Here is a 19,044-nt window from a genome sequence, read left to right on the forward strand (position 1 = left end):
TTTAACAAATATACCTTACTGTATAAACAAGATGTATTCTTAAAAGGTTACTAATGAAGTTACTTCTTTGTACAGAATCTTTTTTTCGTATTGTGCATTAAACTAGAGATAATCATAGGAAAGAAAACTTTTTCAATAAGACATCACAAAATTAACCTAAACTGTTCAATGTTGAATATCTAAAAGGAAAAAATATTTCCTAAGGAAATCCTCAAAATATGTGACAGCTTAATGCAAATTATATATTTTCAATGTTTATCCTAATAATTTAAATATTGCAAGGAGTAATACCTTAACTGATAAACATTAACAAAGTGGTTTAAAAAATTAGGTCTTTCCAATATTCTTTCACAAAATAATAGATGTTTAATTTGGTCACATATCCTTTTGGAAGATGCCATAAGCCAGTTTGACTTTTTGTTGTTCTTGAGGGAAGTTGAGTTGAAATGCTGAAAAGTACAAACAATCACAGCTGTGACTTTGGTTTAAGATATAGTATTAACTAAAGAAAACATTTGATAATAGAAATTATGTTTTATCTGCCATCAGACACTAGGTATTTAATGTTTCCTGGTTTATAACAACAATAAGTTACATATTCTCATAATGAGGTGTTCCAGAAGTTTCCTTTTTTTTTGTTTTTTGTGAGATGGGAGTTTCACTCTTGTTGCCCAGGCTGGAGTGCAATGGTGCGATCTCGGCTCACTGCAACCTCCACCTCCCGGGTTCAAGCGATTCTCCTGCCTTAGCCACCCAAGTAGCTGGGATTACAGGCACCCATGACCACGCCTGGCTAATTTTTTGTATTTTTAGTAGAAACGGGACTTTACCATGTTGGCCAGGCTGGTCTCAAACTCTTGACCTCAGATGATCCACCCACCTCGGCCTCCCAAAGTGCTGGGATTACTGATGTGAGCCACTGTGCTCAGCCTGAGTTTGCATTTTTAAAGAATATAAAATCCTGGGCCTTGCAGTCTTCAGTAACTGTGCTGTAAAGAGCAATTTATTTCTAAAATTTTATAATATGCAGTTTATTCAAAGAGATGAATTAATAACAAGAGAAGACCATGATTATGTGATAAAATTGACAGGTCTAAATCATAAAATCCAAATGTCCATTAAACACAGGACACAGACTAAGCAAAGTGAAAAAATTCTTTTTTTAAGTGTCATTAAGAGAGAGACATCAGACAGCAATAACTGGGAGAAGTTTTCCTGTCCTTGTGCCATGAATAGCCAGTAATTGGAAAGAGTGAGCACATTTGAAAAACAAGTTAAAAACTGGAATGCATAAGTCCATGCCAAAAATTTGCAGAATCCTGAGTCAGCAAATCCAAGTTGCTGCACTGGAAATTTATGGGAAAACAACATTCCAGCCAAATTCATGTGGCTTCAGAGGTAATCGTACATTTAAATGGATAAAACCTCTGAATCTAATAGAAAGAAAATCATAGATTGTACAATTTTGTCAAAGTGACAGATGTACCAAAATATTGCATAAATTCCATCACTGCTTCAACTGGAATATTTTCCAGCTTTGCAATCGGATAAATGCTGTAAAGTGATAGCATGATAGGAAGGACTTAATTTTAATAAATGCAACCAAAATGACGGCATTAAGAGCAAATGTCTCTGGATTCCAGCAGTGTTCCTCATTATTTGAAATAATACATACATATAAATAGTTAAGGATTTCAAATAATACACAAATATAAATAGTTATCTAGTGACAATTTTATAATAATAAATATTCTCAATCCTTAATTTATCTGTTATATCTTTATTCATGGTCTGGAAACTTAAATATTCTTAGACTTTAAGAACAGGTATAGAATAGGGTTGATAGACTATGTCTTGTCCAAATCTGGCAAGTCTGTTTTTGTAAATAAAGATTTGTTGCAACAAAACCATGTCTATTTGTTAACATATCGTGTAATATAACAATGGTAGAATTGAGTAGAGACAGAGACCATATGGACTGGAGAGCCTGAAACATTTGCAATGTGGCCCTTTACAGAGAATGTTTGCTGACTCCTGGCATAGAATATAGTGAACTGTAGAGCACATATTTTTCATAAAAACATTCATATTTAAACAATGGTCAAGCCAGACAAAACAGGCCAGATTCAGATGACTGGCCAGTGCTAGAAAAAGAGATGAAGATCCTGTGTCAGCACTGTCACTAATTTTCTGTGTGATATGGAGCAAGTCACCAATTCTCCTCTAGTAAAAAGGGAGTGTCTCCCTTTGCTGAGGTTACAGTGCATAAGGCCAAATGGCAAAACCACATCATCTTTAAGGGGAATGTGACACTAAGCCAAAGAACTATGTCCAAAATAATCATAAATGCAAGGAGAGCCTGAAGTGAATATTGGGAGCGGAGGCGCAGAGCCTAACAGGTCAGAGTTTCAAGCAGGCAAATGAGGATGATCTAATCTAATTTAAATACTCACAATAACCTACTTAAATAAACCTAGGGCTGTGTTTTCATAAATTAAGTATGTCTATGATTTCACAGACTGAGATACACAAGAACTGTTTCATCTTCTGCAAAATGAAGTTTTGATAGAAAAACTTCTGGCAAAGTGTGCTTCTAGTCTAAGAAATGTCCTGCAGGAAACAAAGAAAGAAAAAGTTCCTTGGTTACATAAACAGGAAGTAGTTTAAACTATTTCCATCTGTTAGAGATTCACAACGAACATTTGTATATTTTGTCTGAGAAGTCCTGCCAATAAGAAGCGTAACATTTTTTTCAACAAGCTTTGCCAAAATGTACTGGCCATCTGAAATTTTTTAAAAATCATGCAACACTTATAAATCCTTGGAAAAACTTTAGAAAACACTTTCTTAGACGATCTCTAAAGCTTTTTCAAACTCTGAAAGCTTTCACTAAGTATTTTAATAACTAACACAGAGAGTATTTATCATGTGTCAGGCACTATTTACATGGTTTACCTATATTAACTATTTTAATCATAACAGTAACCCTATAACATAGGGATTCTTATTATCATTCTTATAGATGACAAAACTGAGGTTCAAAGATGTTATTTAGCTTGTTCAAAGTCAAACAGCTAGTGAGTGGTGGAACCAGGATTCAGACCCAGGTAGTTTGAGTCCAGGGTCCGTGGTCTTAGCTATTTTATATATATATAAATTTATATATATATTTTATATGTATATTTTATATATATAATATATATATTATATACATATTTTATATATAATATATATATTATATACATATTTTATATATATAATATATATATTATATACATATTTTATATATATAATATATATTACATACATATTTTATATATAAAAATAAAATTTTATTATGTATAATATAAATATATTTTATATAAAATAAAAATATAAATATAAAATATAAATATATATCATATATATTATATATATAAAACTATATATATATATAGTTTTGTTGTTGCACTTCAGATATTCAGAGAAGTAAAAACTACCTAAACATCTCACCCAATATTTCTTTTATCATTTGAATTTTTAAAAAACCTATTATTGGAAATGTCAGGAAGTTAACACAAGATTTGAACATACAGAGACTGGTGCACTTTGCCTTATCTGCCTTTAGCTCCATGCATATTCCACAATAAGTAAACTAACGTATCCTCATTATAGTATTCATTAAAATAGGCCTGTCAGGATTTTTCATTGACCATTGTTAATTAATTATAGCTGCCTCCTTGGCAACTATCAATTAATTATAGATGCCTGATAGAAATTGCGTGGTTTCTCTTTGTAAATATTCTAGAATTCCAGCTTCTTACTGGTAAAGAATCATTCATTCATGCCTGTGTAAATGTCTTCATTTAACCGTCACTGGTTGAGAAGCTATTTATGTTGTGAATAACATTGGCAAGTTACTTGCGCTCACGGACTTTAAATCTAGCAGAGGGAGAAAAACAACAAATAAACAAATAAAAACTAAGATATTTTCAGTGGTGTTAATAAGAAAATAAAATAGGGTAATATATAAAATGAAGGCAAGAAGGATAGTTTATTTTGGTTGGTGGAAAATGGACTAACTTATGAGCTGAGATGAGGAAAAGGGACTGGCTATGAGAAGATTTACAGGAATAACATTACAGGCAGGAGCAACAGCAATAATAAAAGCAATGATTTAGAAATTTTACACATTTCAACAATTTTACATGTATAATGTAACTATAGATTGGTAAATATTTAATACCACCATTTTTATTAGAACTTTCTCCTTAAGATAACTGAGTTAATATGCAAATGAGTCTAAATAATCAGCAAGATATTTGGTTCAGAGGGATGAAGTTCAAATAGTTAGCATTACTGATGGAGAATGTGTGCCAAACTTGTGATCAAGTCCTAATATTTGCTCCGTGACCTACAGTAGAGATCATATCTTCAGGTTCAGCTATTTGTATAGGGAAATCACACCAATGGACTTCCATGTGGAGAAAGGGAGATAGGCCCCAGAGCCACCAGTGCTTACTTTCATGAAGAAGGCGTAGAGCCAATGAGTGCATTCCTCAGGTAGGCTAGTTTGAATAGCTAAGGGAAAGCCACATGGGAACCCACCTAGTAGCATAAGGAGGTAACAAATGGAGGTAAGATGCTTACTTTTCTGACAATCAGTAAAGAGAGGAGACATTTGACAATGTCTGGAGACATTGTGATGGTAACAACTGTAAAGAGTGCTGCTGGTATCTAGTGGGTACTTTGGATGCTGCTAAACATCTTAGAGTGCACAAGATAGTCCCCCACAACAAACAATTATCTCATACAAAATGTCAGTTGTGCCAAGGTTGACAAACACTACATCCCAGAAGTTTCCTTTTCCATTCATGAGAGTAGGACAATAGACTTTCCTGCAACATACTCTAATGGGAATTTTTAGAGCTTCTTCACTTTGGACCAAAATCTTTTAAATCCTTTGAGGTTGTATTGCATATATAAGATTATGTGCATAATGCTATCTCGAGCTACAATCTCAAAAAAATCTGTTGATTATATCTCAACTTTAGAATTACTCTTTCAGTATTTTCATTATTTCTCTTTACATTTGCAAGTACATGTGATTTTCATAACAAGTTTCTCTAAAACCTAGCTCAAATGCCACTTCTTAAAATTATTCCTAATTACTGAACTGTTTGTTGTTCCTTCTTCTGTGTTCCTATAGCAATCTATCCATACTTTTATCGTGGCACTTGTCACTCTATGAAGTAATTATTTATTTAAAGGTCATTCCCATTTAGAAAATAAGCCCTTCAGAGCAGAGGCTGTGTAGGATGTGCTAAACATCCTACAATGCACACGATAGCCCCCTATGTCAAAGAATTAACCAGTCCAAAATGTCAGTAGTGCTGAGGTGGAGAAACCCTGCGTCTCTGGAATCTTTGTAACTCCAGTGCCCACAGGGCGCCTGCCACAAAGAAGCACGTTATAGGAATGAATGAATGAATGATTGCTCACAAAGAACAATACTAACATAAAAATACCATGAGTTCTATTTTATTTTTCTGAGAAAATCTTACTTGTTTGTATGCTCATGAAATTAAAAACCCTGTTACATATGTTCATCTAAAAGGAACATTTTTTTTGGACAATTTGACAGAATGATTATAGTTTAGCAACTGGCACACGAACAAGAAAAGTAATAGACTGTGTTATGGACTGTCTAAAATCTTGTGGGTAAGTGAAGACAGTCAAACTTAGAAGAGTGAAATACAGCCAATAATACTGAATGCCATCTCTGAAAACAGAAATAAGAATGTAATATTTTAAAGGTACAAAACGTAGGGAAACAGCAGAAAGACAACTTCAAAAGTGGAAAATGTAGTGACAGAATGAAACTATAGTGATGATAATTAAAAACTGATGGAAACTACGGTCATATAAATAAAATGAGATAAAATTAAAATAGAAGAAATGGTATTTTAAATAAATAAGCTTCAGGAAATGGGTCATAAAACCCTATGGGACAGCTTTTCTTTCCCCCAGAACAAGCAAAAGAAAATTGTTGCCCATTCAAAAGACTGTCAAAGGAATAGTAGGAAGCTATATTATAAATTTTAAAATATGGTTTCCCGGGCATGAAGTTATGAACCAAAGGTTTCAAAAGCAATAGAAAAAGACTTAGAGGTGGCATAGAGTGTACCTTTCTTCCCACAAAAGGAATCGATCAAATTTAAACTACACTAATATAAAGGTAAGAAATAATTTTTTTTAATACATTGTCTTGGTCAGAAAGTATCTACAGAGTAGAGTTTAATTCTAACTGCCACCAGGCCCTCAGAGATAGGAAATGTTTCAGGCTCTGCAGTCCATAGGGTGTCATTCTCAACTATTCAGTTCTGTGGTTGTAGTACACAAGCAGCCAAATGTATTTGCTAGATACATTAGCAAATAAATATGACCGTGTTCCAATAAAACTTTATTTACAAAAACAAGAGCGTGAGGAGGAAAGATGGCGGACGAGGAGAAACTGCCGCCTGGCTGGGAAAAGCGCATGAGCCGCCCCTCAGGCCGAGGGTACTACTTCAACCACATCACTAACCCCAGCCAGTGGGAGCGGCCCAGCGGGAACAGCAGCAGTGGCGGCAAAATCTGGCAGGGGGAGCCCGCCAGGGTCCGCCGCTCGCACCTGCTAGTGAAGCCAGTCAAGGCGGCCCTCGACCTGGCGGCAGGAAATCACCCGGACCAAGGAGGAGGCCCTGGAGCTGATCAGCGGCTACATCCAGAAGATCAAGGCAGGAGAGAAGGACTTTGAGTCTCCGGCCTCACAATTCAGCGACTGCAGCTCGGCCAAGGCCAGGGGAGACCTGGGTGCCTTCAGCAAAGGTCAGATGCAGAAGCCATTTGAAGACCCCTGGTTTGCGCGGCGGACGGGGGAGATGAGCGGGACAGTGTTCACGGATTCCGGCATCCACGTCATTGTCCGCACGGAGTGAGGATTGGGGGCCCAGGCCTGGCCTCGGGGTTCCCCCGCTGCCTGCTGGCCAGTGGCCGAACCCCCCACTCCCTGCCACTGTCACACAGTATTTATTGTTACCAAAATGGCTGGGAGGGGGCCCTTCCAGACTGGGGGCCCTTCCAGACTGGGGGCCCTGGGGTTCCCCACTCCCTGTCAGTCCCCAGTTGGGGCTGCGACCTCCAGACTCTCCATTAAGGAGTTGACTTCAGCATGGGAGGGAGGCTCGCAGACCCAGGGCAATGTGGTGGGAGGAGTGTTCCAAAGAGAAGATCTGGTCAGCAGAGCCGCCCCATGTCCCACCAGGTCCTGGAGGCAGATGCGAGGGCCCAGAGTTGTTTGTAGTTAGGCCACGCTTCTCTGTTCAGTAGCAAAAGCAAACACTCGTGGGCCCAGCTGTGGGCCCTCTGAGCAACTTTGCAGCACCCTTTCACCCCCAATTAAATCCGGAACCACTAAAAAAAAAAAAACCACCAAGGATGCCAGATAGACTTGAGCATGCTCTGTTTTGGAAAATAAACATTGGCAAATTTTAGTAAGTCTAAATTGAATAATCAGTGTGTTTAGGAGTCTGGAAACACTATTATACAAGGGATTTAAGAGATCATTAATATTTATCCTATACAAAGATAAGTCCTATTACTAATAAAATATTCCTTAATACACTGAAGCATAAGATATCACTCATTTTTTCTTTTAATAAAATTAGTTTTGTCTTGGGCCTCAACCACTGGACTGGCAAAAATCCACTCTCAGCTTTATATCATACTCTCCTGGGACATCAGTGAGAACTACGGAATTCATAGAATCCCAGAAATTGCAGAAAGACCTCTGGTCTTTAGCTCATTATGGTTCTCACTAGAATACATGTTGCCTAGAACTATACAGTCAAGTCAAAAGCAGGTGACCTACTATTCCTATGAGCATTTCTTATTCACTTGACACACTTAGTTACTTGGTCCTTCATCTGGGCCCCCAATACTTTGGTGCTTATTGTTTGTTTGTTGGGTACGTGGTCTCAGAGTAAGGTTTGAGAGAATCTGCCACTCCATATTCCCAGGCTCAGAAGACAATTTAATTCTCTCCTCATGGGCCCCAACTATTCCCCAAGCCCCTTTCCCTGGAAGCACCTATTCAGTGGTATAGATTTAGTGAGAGGTGTAGCAGATGTTCTCCTTAAAACATTGGCCAAGGTTTCACAACCATCTTTGGGCTGCTGGTGGTCCCACACAGGACATTCTGGGTATCTTGAAACATATTTTAAGATCTGGGGGGAGAAAGGAGACTGATAGATTTGGAAAAAGTAACAATTCAAGAACGTGTGTGGTAAACTCCAAGTTAAGTCATGCAAAAGGAAGAAAATGGAATGTGGGTTTAAAAGGAGAGTTCGTTTTCAGGTAGAGTAGATAAGATTTTATTCCTCGAGTCTTTATTTCCAGTGAAGACTTTTTGCCTGAGCTCCAGACACACACATACACACACACAAACACACACACACACTTTTTCCTAATATAAGTGTCTTGCATTCACCTCAAAGCCAATATAGTATTTAAAATACAATCCATTACATTCAACCTATCTCCACCTTAGATTTATTCCATTCTAATATACTCTCACTCCTATTCAACTAAGAGACTATCTTTAATTTTTTCCTCTCCTTTACATCTGACATCCAATCAGTCATCATCATTAATCAAGTCATGTCTTTTTCCAAAGCATCTCTCCTATCTGACATCACATTATTCATATTGCCATTGCCTTATTTCTGGCCCCAATTATATCCCACATGAATTTCAAAACAGTCTGTTATCTGGCCTTATGGCTAACATATCCTGTCCCCATTGCCCACATCATTCCAAGTTGCTGATGTGAGCTTTCTAAAATAAAAACCTGGTATCTTTTTCCTACCTGAATCTTAAAGCCTTCCATTGCCTTCAAGCTAAAACTCAAATTCCTTAGCTTGACACAGGAGATAATCTCATGATCTAGTGCTTACCTACATATTATTTCTTACTACTTCCTACCATTTTTCTTATTTCTTATCAATTCTTACATTCATTCTGTTTGTTTGTTTGTTTGTTTGAGACGAATTCTCACTCTTGTCCCCCAGGCTGGGGTGCGATGGCACTATCTCGGCTCACTGCAACCTCTGCCTCCCAGATTCAAGCAATTCTCCTGCCTCAACCTTCTGAGTAGCTGGGATTATAGGCACCTGCCATCATGCCTGGCTAATTTTTGTATTTTTAGAGAGACGGGGGTTTCACCATGTTGGCCAGGCTGGTCTCGAACTCCTGACCTCAGGTGATCCACCTGCCTCGGCCCCCCAAAGTGCTGGGATTACAGGCATGAGCCACCGTGCCCGGCACATTTTTCTTACTATTCCTGCTAACCTGCAGTTCCTTGAATGCACCATGATCTCTTCCATCCTACCTCTTTGACATTTTCTCCTGAAATGACCATCTCCCCTGACTCCTCCAAAGTAAAGCTTCAGTAAAGCCTTCTATTTTCTATTCCTACCTTCCCCAAGGCTGAAAAAGTACCTCTCCTTTTTGTTCTCTAGCAACCTACACGTATGATTTTTACGGCAAATGCCATATTGGGTAGAAATTGTTCATTCCACTTGTAATTTCTCTCGATTATGAACTACTTAATACTGGGGACAACACCTTTCATCTTTAAAACCTTAAACTTGGGAGAAAATAGAAAATCAATGTATTTTTGTTATGGAATAAATAATTTTGAGTGATAAATGGGTAAAAAGCATATTGGATAGAAGAAAGAGCATTGGCAAAAGCTTACAACTTCTAAAACTAATCATCTCAAAATTACCACTAATCTCCATGTTGTCAAATTAAGTGGTCAGTTCTCAGATCTGTCAGCGGCTTTTGTCGCAATTGGTCATAGCATCCACCTCGAAATACTATTCTTTTTTTTAATTTTTTTAATTTTTTTATTTTATTATTATTATACTTTAAGTTTTAGGGTACATGTTCACAATGTGCAGGTTAGTTACGTATGTATACATACGCCATGCTGGTGTGCTGCACCCATTAACTCGTCATTTAGCATTAGGTATACCTCCTAATGCTATCCCTATCCCTCCCCCCTCCTGCCACCCCACAACAGTCCCCAGAGTGTGATGTTCCCCTTCCTGTGTCCATGTGCTCTCATTGTTCACTTCCCACCTATGAGTGAGAACATGCGGTGTTTGGTTTTTTGTCCTTGCGATAGTTTATTGAGAATGATGATTTCCAATTTCATCCATGTCCCTACAAAGGACATGAACTCTTCATTTTTTATGGCTGCATAGTATTCCATGGTGTATATGTGCCACATTTTCTTAATCCGGTCTATCATTGTTGGACATTTGGGTTGGTTCCAAGTCTTTGCTATTGTGAATAGTGCTGCAATAAACATACATGTGCATGTGTCTTTATAGCAGCATGATTTATATTCCTTTGGGTATATACCCAGTAATGGGATGGCTGGGTCAAATGGTATTACTAGTTCTAGATCCCTGAGGAATCGCCACACTGACTTCCACAATGGTTGAACTAGTTTACAGTCCCACCAACAGTGTAAAAGTGTTCCTATTTCTCCACATCCTCTCCAGCACCTGTTGTTTCCTGACTTTTTAATGATTGCCATTCTAACTGGTGTGAGATGGTATCTCATTGTGGTTTTGATTTGCATTTCTGTGAGCATTTGTTCATGTGTTTTTTGGCTGCATAAATGTCTTCTTTTCAGAAGTGTCTGTTCATGTCCTTTGCCCACTTTTTGATGGTGTTATTTGTTTTTTTCTTGTAAATTTGTTTGAGTTCATTGTAGATTCTGGATATTAGCCCTTTGTCAGATGAGTAGGTTGCGAAAATTTTCTCCCATTTTGTGGGTTGCCTGTTCACTCTGATGGTAGTTTCTTTTGCTGTGCAGAAGCTCTTTAGTTTAATTATATCCCATTTGTCAATTTTGTCTTTTGTTGCCATTGCTTTTGGTGTTTTAGACATGAAGTCCTTGCCCATGCCTATGTCCTGAATGGTAATGCCTAGGTTTTCTTCTAGGGTTTTTATGGTTTTAGGTCTAACATTTAAGTCTTTAATCCATCTTGAATTAATTTTTGTATAAGGTGTAAGGAAGGGATCCAGTTTCAGCTTTCTACATATGGCTAGCCAGTTTTCCCAGGACCATTTATTAAATAGGGAATCCTTTCCCCATTTCTTGTTTTTCTCAGGTTTGTCAAAGATCAGATAGTTGTAGATATGCGGCGTTATTTCTGAGGGCTGTGTTCTGTTCCATTGATCTATATCTCTGTTTTGGTACCAGTACCATGCTGTTTTGGTTACTGTAGCCTTGTAGTATAGTTTGAAGTCAGGTAGCATGATGCCTCCAGCTTTGTTCTTTTGGCTTAGGATTGCCTTGGCGATGCGGGCTCTTTTTTGGTTCCATATGAACTTTAAAGTAGTTTTTTCCAATTCTGTGAAGAAAGTCATTGGTAGCTTGATGGGGATGGCATTGAATCTATAAATTACCTTGGGCAGTATGGGCATTTTTACGATATTGATTCTTCCTACCCATGAGCATAGAATGTTCTTCCATTTGTATCCTCTTTTATTTCATTGAGCAGTGGTTTGTAGTTCTCCTTGAAGAGTTCCTTCACGTCCCTTGTAAGTTGGATTCCTAGGTATTTTATTCTCCTTGAAGCAATTGTGAATGGGAGTTCACTCATGATTTGGCTCTCTGTTTGTCTGTTATTGGTGTATAAGAATGCTTGTGATTTTTGTACATTGATTTTATATCCTGAGACTTTGCTGAAGTTGCTTATCAGCTTAAGGAGATTTTGGGCTGAGACAATGGGGTTTCCTAGATATACAATCATGTCATCTGCAAACAGGGACAATTTGACTTCCTCTTTTCCTAATTGGATACCCTTTATTTCTTTCTCATGCCTGATTGCCCTGGCCAGAATTTCCAACACTATGTTGAATAGGAGTGGTGAGAGAGGGCATCCCTGTCTTGTGCCAGTTTTCAAATGGAATGCTTCCAGTTTTTGCCCATTCAGTATGGTATTGGCTGTGGGTTTGTCATAGATAGCTCTTATTATTTTGAGATACATCCCATCAATACCTAATTTATTGAGAGTTTTTAGCATGAAGGGTTGTTGAATTTTGTCAAAGGCCTTTTCTGCATCTGTTGAGATAATCATGTGGTTTTTGTCTTTGGTTCTGTTTATATGCTGGATTACATTTATTGATTTGCATATATTGAACTAGCCTTGGGTCCCAGGGATGAAGCCCACTTGATCATGGTGGATAAGCTTTTTGATGTGCTGCTGGATTCGGTTTGCCAGTATTTTATTGAGGATTTTTCCATCAATGTTCATCAAGGATATTGGTCTGTAATTCTCTTTTTTGGGTGTGTCTCTGCCTGGCTTTGGTATCAGGATGATGCTGACCTCATAAAATGAGTTAGGGAGGATTCCTTCTTTTTCTATTGATTGGAATAGTTTCAGAAGGAATGGTACCAGTTCCTCCTTGTAGCTCTGGTAGAATTCGGCTGTGAATCCATCTGGTCCTGGACTCTTTTTGGTTGGTAAGCTATTGATTATTGCCACAATTTCAGAGGCTGTTATTGGTCTATTCAGAGATTCAACTTCTTCCTGGTTTAGTCTTGGGAGGGTGTATGTGTCGAGGAATTTCTCCATTTCTTCTAGATTTTCTAGTTTATTTGCATAGAGGTGTTTGTAGTATTCTCTGATGGTAGTTTGTATTTCTGTGGGATCAGTTGTGATATCCCCTTTATCATTTTTATTGCGTCTATTTGATTCTTCTCTCCTTTCTTCTTTATTAGTCTTGCTAGCGGTCTATCAATTTTGTTGATCCTTGCAAAAAACCAGCTCCTGGATTCATTAATTTTTTGAAGGGTTTTTTTGTGTCTCTATTTCCTTCAGTTCTGCTCTGATTTTAGTTATTTCTTGCCTTCTGCTAGCTTTTGAATGTGTTTGCTCTTGCTTTTCTAGTTCTTTTAATTGTGATGTTAGGGTGTCAATTTTGGATCTTTCCTGCTTTGTCTTGTGGGCATTTAGTGCTATAAATTTCCCTCTACACACTGCTTTGAATGTGTCCCAGAGATTCTGGTATGTTGTGTCTTTGTTCTCGTTAGTTTCAAAGAACATCTTTATTTCTGCCTTCATTTTGTTATGTACCCAGTAGTTATTCAGGAGCAGGTTGTTCAGTTTCCATGTAGTTGAGCGGTTTTGAGTGAGTTTGTTAGTCCTGAGTTCTAGTTTGATTGCACTGTGGTCTGAGAGACAGTTTGTTATAATTTCCGTTCTTTTACATTTGCTGAGGAGAGCTTTACTTCCAACTATGTGGTCAATTTTGGAATAGGTGTGGTGTGTGGTGTGGTGCTGAAAAAAATGTATATTCTGTTGATTTGGGGTGGAGAGTTCTGTAGATGTCTATTAGGTCCACTTGGTGCAGAGCTGAGTTCAATTCCTGGGTATCCTTGTTAACTTTCTGTCTCGTTGTCGGGTCTAATGTTGACAGTGGGGTGTTAAAGTCTCCCATTATTATTGTGTGGGAGTCTAAGTCTCTTTGTAGGTCACTAAGGACTTGCTTTATGAGTCTGGGTGCTCCTGTATCAGGTGCATATATATTTAGGATAGTTAGCTCTTCTTGTTGAATTGATCCCTTTACCATTATGTAATGGCCTTCTTTGTCTCTTTTGATCTTTGTTGGTTTAAAGTCTGTTTTATCAGAGACTAGGATTGCAACCCCTGCCTTTTTTTGTTTCCATTTGTTTGGTAGATCTTCCTCCATCCTTTTATTTTGAGCCTATATATTTCTCTGCACGTGAGATGGGTGTCCTGAATACAGCACACTGATGGGTCTTGACTCTTTATCCAATTTGCCAGTCTGTGTCTTTTAATTGGAGCATTTAGCCCATTTACATTTAAAGTTAACATTGTTATGTGTGAATTTGATCCTGTCGTTATGCTGTTAGCTGGTTATTTTGCTCATTAGTTGATGCAGTTTCTTCGTAGCCTCAATGGTCTTTACATTTTGGCATGATTTTGCAGTGGCTGGTACCGGTTGTTCCTTTCCATGTTTAATGCTTCCTTCAGGAGGTCTTTTAGGACAGGCCTGGTGGTGACAAAATCTCTCAGCATTTGCTTGTCTGTAAAGTATTTTATTTCTCCTTCACTTATGAAGATTAGTTTGGCTGGATATGAAATTGTGGGTTGAAAATTCTTTCCTTTAAGAATGTTGAATATTGGCCCCCAATGTCTTCTGGCTTGTAAAGTTTCTGCCAAGAGATCCCATGTTAGTCTGATGGGCTTCCCTTTGTGGGTAACCCGACCTTTCTCTCTGGCTGCCCTTAACATTTTTTCCTTCATTTCAACTTTGGTGAATCTGACAATTATGTTTCTTGGAGTTGCTCTTCTTGGGGAGTATCTTTGTGGCGTTCTCTGTATTTCCTGAATCTGAATGTTGGCCTGCCTTGCTAGATTGGGGAAGTTCTCCTGGATAATATCCTGCAGAGTGTTTTCCAACTTGGTTCCATTCTCCCCGTCACTTTCAGGTACACCAGTCAGACATAGATTTGGTCTTTTCACATAGTCCCATATTTCTTGGAGGCTTTGTTCATTTCTTTTTATTCCTTTTTCTGTAAACTTCCCTTCTCACTTCATTTCATTCATTTCATCTTCCATCACTGATACCCTTTCTTCCAGTTGATTGCATCGGCTCTTGAGGCTTCTGCATTCTTCACGTAGTTCTCGAGCCTTGGCTTTCAGCTCCATCAGCTCCTTTAAGGACTTCTCTGTATTGGTTATTCTAGTTATACATTCATCTAAATTTTTTTCAAAATTTTTAACTTCTTTGCCTTTGGTTTGAATTTCCTCCTGTCGTTCGGAGTAGTTTGATCATCTGAAGCCTTCTTCTCTCAACTCATCAAAGTCATACGCCGTCCAGCTTTGTTCCATTGCTGGTGAGGAACTGCATTCCTTTGGAGGAGGAGAGGCGCTCTGCTTTTTAGAGGTTCCAGTTTTTCTGCTCTGTTTTTTCCCCATCTTTGTGGTTTTATCTACTTTTGGTCTTTGATGATGGTGATGTACAGATGGGTTTTTGCTGTGGATATTTTTTCTCTTTGTTTTCCTTCTACCAGACAGGACCCTCAGCTGCAGGTCTGTTGGAGTTTGCTAGAGGTCCACACGAGACCCTGTTTGCCTGGGTATCAGCAGCGGTGGCTGCACAACAGCGGATTTTCGTGAACCGTGAATGCTGCTGTCTGATCGTTCCTCTGGAAGTTTTGTCTCAGAGGAGTACCCGGCCGTGTGAGGTGTCAGTCTGCCCCTACTGTGGGGTGCCTCCCAGTTAGGCTGCTCGGGGGTCAGGAGTCAGGGACCCACTTGAGGAGGCAGTCTGCCCGTTCTCAGATCTCCAGCTGCGTGCTGGGAGAACCACTGCTCTCTTCAAAGCTGTCAGACAGGGACGTTTAAGTCTGCAGAGGTTACTGCTGTCTTTTTGTTTGTCTGTGCACTGCCCCCAGCGGTGGAGCCTACAGAGGCAGGCACGCCTCCTTGAGCTGTGGTGGGCTCCACTCAGTTTGAGCTTCATGGCTGCTTTGTTTACTTAAGCAAGCCTGGGCAATGGTGGGCGCCCCTCCCCCAGCGTTGCTGCCGCCTTGCAGTTTGATCTCAGACTGCTGTGCTAGCAATCAGCGAGACTCCGTGGGCGTAGGACCCTCCGAGCCATGTGCGGGATGTAATCTCCTGGTGCGCCATTTTTTAAGCCCATTGGAAAAGAGCAGTATTAGGGTGGGAGTGACCCGATTTTCCAGGTGCCGTCTGTCACCCCTTTCTTTGACTAGGAAAGGGAACTCCTTGACCCCTTGCGCTTCCCAAGTGAGGCAATGCCTCGCCCTGCTTCGGCTCGTGCACAGTGCGCTGCGCCCACTGTCCTGCCCCCACTGTCTGGCACTCCCTAGTGGGATGACCTTGGTACCTCAGATGGAAATGCAGAAATCACCCGTCTTCTGCGTCGCTTACGCTGGGAGCTGTAGACCGGAGCTGTTCCTATTTGGCCATCTTGGCTGCCAGCCTCTGAAATACTGTTCTTATTTGGCTTCCAGGACTTTACATTCTTCTTATTTTTTCTCCTATGTCCCTAGTCACTTTTCAGTTTTACTTATTTGTTCTTCATATCCATTCAGACCTATTCTCTTTTTATCTACATTCATGCCCTTGGTGATCTATATTCTCAAGACCTCACAATAGTATTTTTTCTTCATCTGTTATAGGTAAATGCACAAACTGGCCCAGTTGGAAAGACTTGACCTAGGCAATAATGAATTCAGTGAGCTGGTAAGCCATCTCTATGCTACCATGCTCAAATTATGTCTTTCCTAGACTCTTTTCTTGATGTCTATGCTTGTTTATGCAACTGAATGATTAACATCTCTAGTTGACTCTAGAGTAGAAATTTCCAACTGAACACCTAAAACTGAACTTCCAGTCTACCCAAAACCCTGCTCCACTTGGTCTTCCTCATCAGTCACTTGCAACTCCATCCTTCTAGTTGTTCAGACCAAAACACACCTTTAGTCACAGTCAGCTCTCATTCCCCACAGCTGACTCATCAAGACATTTAGTTCTTATCTTAACTATATCCAGAACCCTACCACATCTCAGCACCTTTACCATTGCCTTATTATGGCCACCACTGTGGCCATAAATTTTTTATAATAAGAAAGAAGTAAAATAGATTCAGTCCAAGCCACCATCACCTCTTATTTGACTTATTACATTAGCCTTCTCTTTGATCTTCCTTCTTCTACTGTTGTCCCCCTCAGTCTGTTTATAAGCCTGCAATCACAGATATTCTTCTAAAACAAATCATTTCAGAAACATCTTTCATAAAAACCTTTCAGTGGCCCCCTATCCTACTCAGAATCAAAGCCAAAGTCTCTACATTGTGCTGTAAGATCGCATATTATGCAACTCCCCATTACATCATCTTTCTACTCCTCCCTCTCTCTCTCTTCTTTAGCCATACTGGTCTGCTAGGATGTCTTCAAGCAAGTAAAATGTCCCTGCTTTAGAATCTCCATATTAGCATGCTTTTTCATTTCCTTTCTGCCTTGGCTCCAATTTCGTATTCTCATTGAGGCCTTACCTGATCACCCTACTAAAAATTAAATCCTTATATGAATTCTCTCTATCTACCTCCTCTGCTTAACTTTTCTCTGTAGCACTTGTAACCTTTTAATATGTTATTTTATTTTATTTTATTATTTTGTTTACTCTGATTCTTCCCTGCTGAATGTAAAGTCCTTTGAGGTAGGAATTTTTATCTGTTTTGTTCTCTGCCATACCCCAGATCAGCACATAATACTCTCTCAATAATAGTTGCTGAGTGAAGAAAGAGTACATAATTTTTTTGCATTTCTGAGTATCTGATAGCATCCGGATTGCAGTAATATTTCATTTAAGGTTCATAAAAGCCCTATAAGGTAATTTCTACATCCATTTTAAATGTGATAAAACTAAAATTTCTAAGATTTCAATCAATGGTGTCTGAAGAATTCCTGTATAGGCAGGACTTAAGGACAGAATTCTGATTAGTGGAGAGATAAAAAAAAATCTTTCAGAAAAGCACTGTATTTTCTCATAGTGTATGTTTACTTGAGAGTGCTTTGAGAAATGCTGACTGCATATGGAGTGCACTTGGGTTCCCTGAACTTTTGACATCAACTCTTGCCCAAGGTTTGTGTATTAGTCTGTTTTCACACTGCTATAAAGAAGTGCTCCAGACTGGGTAATTTATATAGAAAAGAGGTTTAATTGACTCACAGTTCCACATGGCTGGGCAGGCTTCAGGAAACTTAAAATCATGGCCGAAGGGGAAGCAGGCACATCTTATATGGCAGCAGGCGAGAGAGAACATGTGAAGGAGGAACTGTCAAACACTTATAAAACCTTCAGATCTCATGAGAATTCTCACTTTCATGAGAACAGCATAGGAGAAACCACCCCCATGATCCAATCACCTCCCACCAGGTCCCTTCCTCAGTATACGATTATGGGGATTACAATTCAAGATGAGATTTGGGTCAGGACACAGACCAAAACTGTATCAGTGTGACAACTATTCATAGCTATAGCAGCTTTCAAGTCAATATGTTTGGGAGACAATGACTACAATTTGTCTGTAACAGAAGTTCATTTAAAGGAGTAGAAAATAATAAGACTGATGATGAAATGGTGCCATATTATGAGATTTTAGAATGGTTTGCTGAGAATTGGTTTCAGCCATTGATTCCCAATCCTGTGGTGACTCTTAAAAATATTGAAGTGGGGCCCCACCCTACACCTCCCACTGGTGTAGATATTTAATAAGCTTCTTGGATTTTTGTTAAGGAGCCAGCCTTGCATGCCAACCATATTGGCATTTGTGAACAGATGCTGTAGCTTTTCAGCTGGCAGTTTGCATAGATTTTGTGTATTTGAGATTTACTTGTTGCTGAAGAGTACCCCCAGTTTTGTGTACTACGCAATCAGGTAAATCTGACAGGAAGGTGGTTGGAATGTCTTTTAGAGCAATGTATCATGCACTACCTCACAATAGTATTTTTCTCCATCTGTTGTAGGTCAATGCACAAACTGGCCCAGTTGGAAAGACTTGACCTAGGCAATAATGAATTCGGTGAGCTGGTAAGCAAATGCATTTTCTAAACCTGATAAATACCCTTCAGGAGATTCTTTCTTTTGCTCTGTCTTTGTAAACCAAGGTATTAACTTGATTGCACGTTTGCATTTGCTAAATGTAAAAGTAAAAACCTGGAAGTTAATATTAGCTTTCACTTTTTGGAAAAAAAAATGGAATTGAGCCAGATACAAATTGATAGTTTTGAGGACCAACTATGTGACAGGTGCCATGCTTAGTATGTTACATATGTTATCTCTTTTAATCCTGATTGGACATGTTGCCATTTTAACCTAATGGAAATGAACTTAAAATGGTCACTGTCATACATAGCTATTAAGTGCCTGAACAGGGATTAAACCC

At 38.9% G+C, this 19,044-nt stretch overlaps 1 protein-coding gene and 1 pseudogene across 7 annotated transcripts in view; both read left to right on the forward strand.

The window, feature by feature from the left end:
• Nucleotides 1-19,044, forward strand: part of LRRC7 (leucine rich repeat containing 7) — a 576,443-nt gene that overhangs the window by 344,960 nt on the left and 212,439 nt on the right. For all 6 annotated transcript variants that reach the window (NM_001330635.3, NM_001366839.3, NM_001370785.2 and 3 more), the window contains one exon: nucleotides 18,626-18,689. In NM_001330635.3, coding sequence (NP_001317564.1) covers nucleotides 18,626-18,689 — 64 coding nt within the window. The remainder of the gene's footprint in view (nucleotides 1-18,625; nucleotides 18,690-19,044) is intronic.
• PIN1P1 (peptidylprolyl cis/trans isomerase, NIMA-interacting 1 pseudogene 1) lies at nucleotides 6,441-7,436 on the forward strand (annotated as a pseudogene). Its single transcript, NR_023916.1, has one exon. The product of NR_023916.1 is annotated as a peptidylprolyl cis/trans isomerase, NIMA-interacting 1 pseudogene 1 (transcript).

This window comes from Homo sapiens, chromosome 1, assembly GCF_000001405.40.
Source record: "Homo sapiens chromosome 1, GRCh38.p14 Primary Assembly".
Taxonomy (NCBI): Eukaryota; Metazoa; Chordata; class Mammalia; order Primates; family Hominidae; genus Homo; species Homo sapiens.